The following is a 7881-nucleotide window of genomic DNA, read 5'->3' as shown; positions in this document are numbered from 1 at the left end:
GCCTTGAACTGAGCCCTGGGGAGTGGGGGAACGGCCATGCTGTACCCCTATACCAGGAGTGGGGGAGGCTGATTCCTGGCAGGGGGATGAGCCAGGACACGGGCCCAGGGCGAGAAAGAGCTGGGCTCAGAGAAATCGGAGCAGGAACATGTGGCCAGGCCGGGAGGATGGACAGCCAGCAGGAACCGGAGCCAGGAGCCTCGTGGGGCCCCACAGGAGCCGGAATCGGCCCAGTGCAGCCCCGTCCAGCAGGGAGAGGCCTGAAGGAGCTGGATCCGGCCCAGTGCAGCCCCGTTCAGCAGGGAGAGGCCTGAAGGAGCTGGTCCCCCTCTGGCGATGAGTGCCTGTGGTTGCTGGGAGTCCCATCACCCTGTCCAGTTATGGGGATGCTGGGCCTGAGCTCTGCGGGGCTGGAGAGGAACAAGGCTGGGCAGGTGCCTCCGGCCAGGTGGACAAGTCGGCCAGTGGCTGGGCCCCTCAGAGGGGACATGGAGCGCGGCTCCCCTCTTCCATCTCACCCTAAATGGCAATCCCGGCTGGGGATCCACCTCACTGCAAGAGCAGAGCCTCCTGCATCTCTGGCCGCCTGTAGGGTTCCTGCAGTTCCCAGGGAGCGGAAGCTTGGAAGAAAAACTGCCCCCATTCCCACAGCTCGCTAATCACGCTGGAAGACACACGGAGAGCAGAACGCGGGCTCCGGATGAAGAAGGACAACGAAAACTTTAAACAAGTGAAAGAGCAGCAAACTCCCGGCCTGCGTCCCCAGCGGAGGAGAAACCGGCAGAAGCACCTCGCACCTCTTGATGAGCAGACGCCGGGGACAGCGTTGTTCACGACACACGGGAATGTGCTTTAAAAGCAGGTCAAAGACGACGTGTGTGCCAGGTGCCTACATGCCACCCGCGGCCCGGTCTTCTCATCCACCATCAATTATAAAAACCACCTGGGCCTCCAACGCGGCCTCCGCGGCACGGAGCATTCTCCAGCTGCAATCCCAGGAGGCAGCGCCTGTCTTTCCGATGTTCCTTCCACTCTTCCATCTGCTGCGAGATCAGACCTCAGAGCGCCGCGGAGCTCGGCCAGCGGCAGGTGCGTCCTCAAAGGCAGCTCGGAGCCGGCTTCCTGGCCCGCAGTGGGCGGGCCCGTTGAGCTGCATTCTTGAATTCCTGCCTTCAACACCGGAGGAACCAGTGGGCTTTTGATGCGTGGTTCACAAATAAAACGGAGCGGACTCTGAGGGCCAGCGCATAATGAGGGATGCATCCGCCTTCCCTTTGATGGTTGCACAGTGACAGGCGTCCTTGGCTTTTGTTGGAAAGTGCAGACTCTTTTTTTTTTAACAAACCTTTTGCTGTTAGAGGACGAGAACCGCATGTACTGGTGCTAGCTGCGAGTGGTCCTGGAGTTTCTGTGTGAGACTATTTTGTTGTTCTCGAGGCCAGCTCAAATGAGGTGCTTCTAAAGTTGTATTTTTAACTGGAACGTCCAATCCCAGTGACTGGGGTCCAGGCCTGGGAGGCAGAGTCCGTCCTGCGAATGAGTGACGTCTTTGTGTTGAATGAGAAAAGACGAATTGAAGTCCAGCTTCCAAAGCTTCTTGTGCGTCTCCCAACCTGCCCGCGCCTGGTGGGTTGAGGGTGTGTCTGTCTGTGAAGAGCCCTTGGACACCCAGGGGTTCGGTGGGACCAGGCCAGAGCCGGGCTCGAGGACCACCCATGCGTTCTGCAATGGAACAGGGACGTCCTGAAACTCAGGTGGCTCTGAGGTGCCTGCCCTTGTGGACAAGGAGCTCCCGTGTCACTGAGAGACCCCGGCACACGGGACCCCGGCGCCTCCCCCGTGGTGGGCGTGGCCTCCTGTGTCCCGGAGGAACAGGAGGAGCCTGTGGTTTGGGTTTCCCGGCGCGTTGTTGGGTGTCCTGGAGGAACGGGGGAACCTGTGGTTTGGGTTTCCCGGCGCATTGTTGGGTGTCCTGGAGGAACGGGGGAACCTGTGGTTTGGGTTTCCCGGCGCGTTGTTGGGTGTCCTGGAGGAACGGGGGAACCTGTGGTTTGGGTTTCCCGGCGCGTTGTTGGGTGTCCTGGAGGAACGGGGGAACCTGTGGTTTGGGTTTCCCGGCGCGTTGTTGGGTGTCCTGGAGGAACGGGGGAACCTGTGGTTTGGGTTTCCTGGCGCGTTGTTGGGTGTCCTGGAGGAACGGGGGAACCTGTGGTTTGGGTTTCCCGGCACGTTGTTGGGTTGCAACAATCTCTGTTCTTGTGACACCACTCCAGCCCAGGCATGCGGTGAGGTGTCCAGCTGTTTCACGGCCCTCTGGGAGTGTGATGCCCTGAATTCCTATGGCCCAAGGCTCAGGAGCAGCCTCTGCCTTTGGGGAGAGAACCCAGGAAGGGACCGTGTGGCGCTCGGATGACATCCTGGTTCAATATTGTCACGCAGTTTTCGTTGAAGAAAAGAATGGAAAATGCTGGTTCATCTAAACTTTCTCATGTTTTATTTAGGATGCTGAATTATTCACTATGGCCCTGAGCCTCCAGTGATCCAAAACTAAGCTGCCCGTTCATCAGGGACGCCTCCTGGCACTGCCTTTTCCTCTGCATCTCGTGGGGACTCTGGCTTGGCACCCCCTGGCCCCCGAGGCTCTGGTATCCAGGCTCCCCTGAATCAGCTCCCTGAAAAGAAGTCGGAGGAAAGCGGGTGGGGGCATGGCCTCATTCCCTGGCGAGGTGAAACAGGAAGGTGAAAACATTCACACTTAAAAGGACTGCACGGTCCTGCAGCTCTGCAGCCCCGAACCCAGAGCCTGGGAACGTGGCCGGTGAGAATTGGGCTTCAGCTCAAACCCGGTGCAAGCTGCTGGCTTCTCAGGGAGACGTGTTCACTGCTGCTCAGCTGCTCCGTGGCTTGGCCGGCACCTGGTCAACCTGAGTCTCCTCGGGGCAATCTAGACCCTCACCCTTAGGGATGAGGCCCAGGAACTGCGCCTGTGGAGCTGGGCCGGCTGTGGCCGCCCTTGGACCCTCTGCAGATGCCCTCTGATGGGACACAGCGGAGATCAGCCTCCCACCACACGCCCACGGGTCCGTTGGCAACTGTGTTGCCCTGATCCTGGGACTGCTCACTCAGTGTGAACTGGGCAACCCTGAAGGTGGCGATGGCCCTGCCAGGGAAGTGCCAAGCTCCCAAATTATTCACAACATCTAGAAGGAGGGCAGAGAACCCAGGGGTTGGGCAAAATTCCAGGGGTGCTCTATGCAGCCATGTTCTATCCTAAATGAGTGAATGATAACAGGGGTCTTATCCTCCCAAGAGGCCTCAGCTAGAGCATGGCCACCCTGCTGCCCACACCCCTGTCCTCACCAGAGCTACCTATCCCAAGGGAATAGCCCCCGAGTTTCACCATCCACCCACCTACCCACCCATCCACCCACCTATCCACCCATCCATCCATTCATCCATTCACCCATCCAGCCACCTACCCATCTACTCAACCATCCACCCATCCACCCACCCACCCATTTATCTAACCACCCACCCATCCCTCCACCCACCCATCCACCCATCTACCCATCTACCTACTCACTCATCCATTCACCCACCCATCCATCCAACTACCCATCCACCCACCCATCCATCCATCCACCTACCCATCCATCCATCCACCCAATCACCCATCCACCCATCCATCCATCCACCTACCCATCCACTCATCCATCCATCCATCCACCCAATCACCCATCCACCCATCTGCCTACCCACTCATCTACTCATCCACCCACCCATCCACCTACCCACCCATCCATCCATCTACCCATGCATCCACCCAGCCACCCACCCACCTAATAATCTACTCACCCCTCCACCCACCCATCCATCCACCAACCCATCCACCCATCCATCTACCCACCCACCCGTCCATCCATTCATTCATCCACTCATCCTGCTGTTCACTCAACAGACACACTGAGCCCCTCTGACTCCTGGGTACACTGAGGTGCAGAGATGAAACAGATGCACCTCCTGCTCTCCAGCATCAAAACCTCCAGGCGCAGCACAAGTAACTGACTCCTCAAACACCAAGATAAAGGTCAGTGCAGAAGGGAGAAAGTACTTCAAACAAAAGAGATTCTTGTTTCTAGGGGTGGGCTGGGAGAGCAGAAAGGAGCTCCCCAGGAGGCCACATCTGGGCTGAGTCCCACGTCAGAGAGAACTCGGGAAGGCTGGTCCTGCGATCCATGCTTAGCCTGACTACTGGTCAACTGATCATGAAAGAAGAAAAAAGCACCTGTTGCTGACTTTTCAAATGACAAAGGTGACGCCACCCGAGGACTGTGAGCCGGCTGCCTCCCTGCAAGGCCCTCACGGCTTGATTGCTGAGGTCACGGGCTCCACATTCTGTGCCATGCGTTCAGCTCAGATTTCAAGGCAAAGCTGTTGTCTGTGAGCTCTGTGAAGCGGGCTCACAGTGCACTGGTACCAACCTCAGGAGAGGACTCGAAACACCGTGCAGCTCACACACGTGGGGATCAGAGTGTTTGCCTGAGCTGGGCGAGGCAGAGCACTCACACAAGTTAGGAGGAGCAACCTGATTACCCAGACAGGCAGCAAGGGAGAACAGAAGCCCAGGGTTCAAGGCAAGCTGGCCCCCAGGCTCATAGGGTGGGCGGCAAGCCGGTCCCCCAGGCTCACGGGGTTCACGGCAAGCTGGTCCCCCAGGCTCACAGGGTTCACGGCAGGCTGGCCCCCCAGGCTCACAGGGTTGATGGCAAGCTGGCCCCCAGGCTCACAGGGTTCATGGCAGGCTGGTCCCCAGGCTCACAGGGTTCACGGCAGGCTGGCCCCCCAGGCTCACAGGGTCGGCGGCAAGCTGGTCCCCAGGCTCACAGGGTCGGCGGCAAGCTGGTCCCCAGGCTCACAGGGTCCACGGCAAGCTGGTCCCCAGGCTCACAGGGTTGGCGGCAAGCTGGTCCCCAGGCTCACAGGGTTGGCGGCAAGCTGGTCCCCAGGCTCAGGAAAGCAGCCCAGGGCAGGACGGGCCTCGTCTGCGTGTGCCCCATGTTGCACTGCCGCAGAGGGATCCAGAAGGTGCTGCTCTGGGTCCACACCGAGGGGACAGCATGCACCAGGCTTCAGTATTGCAGGACACCTGCTTTGCCTGGGCCGCGGTGCTTCTGGATACCCTGCTCTGGCTGTGGTCCCACAGCATACCTGCTCTACGGGGGACAGGAACAGAGCCCGGCTGCCAGGTCAGCTCCCCCCTCTCTCAGGATGCTGCGTTCCCAGCAAGAATCTGCAGTGGTTCTTGAGAAGTACAAGCAAGAAAGGCGGTGGGCACTAAGTGGGTCCAAGGCCACTCAGAGACTCACCCGGCCCCACTCAGCTGCAGCTGAGAGCCTTGTGTGTCTAGTTCTGTGTCGCCGCTGGACAAGAGACGTCCTGCTGATTTTTCCAAGCCAGCATAGTAAATCATTAATAATTGTGAGCCTGTTTAAACCATTTACTTTTGGAAAGTAACATCAGGATTTTAAAGGCAAGAATTGCCAGGAAATGCGGGTCTGTTGGTAACTATTGAGTTTTGTCCCCAGAACACATTGTAAGGCGGCAGGCAGCAGGCCCAGCAGGGCAGTGAGTGGGCTGGGGTTGGCCCTGTGGACTGGGACTGGTAGACATGTCCTCTGCAAAGCCCCCGCTGGAGCCTGGGCCTGCCTTGCTGGTGCAGAGGAGGCTGGTGCTGCGGGATTCCTGTGAGGAGGCGGCTGATGTGGGCCACGGGGCATCACCGTGGCACCTGAGGGGCCCCACTGGAGGAGCCAAGCGGGTACCCACACAGAGTACCTGCCCCTGAGGAGAGAGATGGAGGCTGCAGTCCTGGGCTCCCCATTCCCTTCTTTGCCTAACATCCGTGTGTCGAGGAAATCCTGCCTCCCAAGCAGAACACATCCCAGCTCCTCACTGGGGAATTTTACTGCCCTGTGTGGCTCCCAGCCTGCATCAGGCTACGAGCTCTGCCCTGTTCCTGGCTCCTCTTGCCCCGAGAGCTGTGGGTCCCACCCTTTGGCTTCTCACTCAGAAGCAAGGCCTCGTCCTCCACCCACCTCTCTCTTCAGGGCCTGCGTCTGCCCACACTGGCCTCTGCTCTGACACTCTCCTGGGGGTCGGCTGGCCTCCCAGGCCCACCCGGGACCCTCCCCACCTACACACCCCATGCTCCGTGCTCGGCAGGGCCCTCCTTCCCTCTTTGTTTGGCAAAGGCTCTGTCACCCCAGATCCCTCCAGCTCCCACACTTGCTCCCGCCCTCACTTAGGCTTCACCGACTGCACCTCTGAGCCCATCCCTGCAAGGGGGGGCAGTGGGGGCCCCTGCCTCATCCTCCCCCCACCAGGACCTGGGCTTCACAGGTGTGCAACAGGTTCTTGGCAAATAAACAGAAACCAAAGATTAAGCGTGTCCCCAAATGCCAAAATGCCACATTATCTCCGCTGTTTCAGGACTCTGGAGGAAGACCCTCCCAGCCCACTGGCCGCTGTGCACCTGCAGGTGAGGGGATGCACCTGCTGTGTGAAGGGATGCAGGGCGCATTGCTGCAGATGGGAGCCATGGCCCGGGGATGCCACCTCGTGCCGTGTGGAGAAGACCTCTGATGAGCCCTCCTCATCCTCTGTGTGGGCGCCAGTGCTGTCCCCAGACAGGGCTGGGAACTGCTGGACAGAAGGCAGGGAGCTGGCGTGATGGGAGCTGCCCCATTTTAAGGTTCACTCCCTCGTGCTGATCAGATAACACAGGGTGTCCAGCCTCTCCAGGGAGCCTTAGGGAGATTGGAGGGCTAACCTCGAAAACCTTAGTCTTCATGTCTTGCCGGTTACCTTTCCAAATGTTACGGAAATGAGACATTGGATGTGACACCCTGTGGTCCCAAAGTCAGGCAGGAGCGGGAGTGGCCACAGCCTCGAGGGACGCGGAGGGAGCCCGGTGGCCACATCTCCGCAGAGCCGAGCCCCGCCAAGTGTTACTCTGGGACTGCTCTGCCGGGTCTCATGGCAAAAGGAGATGGTAAAAATAACGTGGCCGTAAATCCTGGACGCCCAACAGGCCATCAAGTCTGCTGCAATGCCCGCTGCTGCCACTCTCGGTTGGGGCCCCTGCCAGCATCTCCAGAGCTGACTTCGTTGTCGGGTGTGTGACTCTGAGATGGGAGGGAACAGACCTCTGCGTTCCGAGGCGGGAGGAGTGAGAGCTTCATGGGCGGCAAGAGCGGATCCAGTGACATTTCGATTGTTATTTAAAAGCGATTGAAAGCTTGGGGCAAAGTTTTACATGACTGACTTATGCTTCCTGGAGACAAAGGAGCCGATTTCAAGTTTTCAGAGACAGTAAGTGTTCAATTCATGGAGGAAAAAAGTCAAAAGCAGTGTAAAAGTAGGATGCTGCCTTCAAACTGCTCACTGAACCCCCGAGACAATGCAGGAGCTCTCAGGGACCTCTCGGGAACGCTCAGGGGGCAGTGGCCCCGAACCAGCCAGGGCAGATGCTGTTCCAGCTGCAGGATCGATGCAGACTCAGGCAGCCACGTCCGACCTAAGTCAACAAAATGGTGCCACCCCGGCCCTCGGCAAAGCCCAGAGACCACCAAACAGCCCCTAGAGGTTTCATACCCCAGAAAACCTCTGCTTGGAAAAATGTTTAAAGCGAAACTTTGGGTTTTGGCTGTCTAGAGGAGAACGCATGTTTCTGGCAAGATGAGGTTGTTGTGAGCCAGGGGCGTTTTATCGCCAGTCCTCACGTCTCAGCCCCTGTTTGGAGTACGCTCAGGTCAGCCCAAGCATCTTCAGGAGGAGCCACCTTTCTGTGAGTAGGAAAGACAACGGTGCCCACCCCAGTCA

The 7881-nt window shown here is 58.6% G+C and overlaps 2 annotated features.

The window, feature by feature from the left end:
* Positions 388-1001: an enhancer, noted in NCBI's record as "H3K4me1 hESC enhancer chr10:134844587-134845200 (GRCh37/hg19 assembly coordinates)". NCBI's record gives its function as "activates a minimal SCP1, AML or CMV promoter by ChIP-STARR-seq in naive H9 embryonic stem cells {active_cell/tissue: H9 hESC(naive)}" and the evidence as "EXISTENCE:reporter gene assay evidence [ECO:0000049][PMID:30033119]".
* Positions 1616-2229: an enhancer, noted in NCBI's record as "H3K4me1 hESC enhancer chr10:134843359-134843972 (GRCh37/hg19 assembly coordinates)". NCBI's record gives its function as "activates a minimal SCP1, AML or CMV promoter by ChIP-STARR-seq in primed H9 embryonic stem cells {active_cell/tissue: H9 hESC(primed)}" and the evidence as "EXISTENCE:reporter gene assay evidence [ECO:0000049][PMID:30033119]".

Source organism: Homo sapiens, chromosome 10 (assembly GCF_000001405.40).
Source record: "Homo sapiens chromosome 10, GRCh38.p14 Primary Assembly".
Classification (NCBI taxonomy): Eukaryota; Metazoa; Chordata; class Mammalia; order Primates; family Hominidae; genus Homo; species Homo sapiens.
This window is presented reverse-complemented; position numbering and strand designations above follow the sequence as displayed.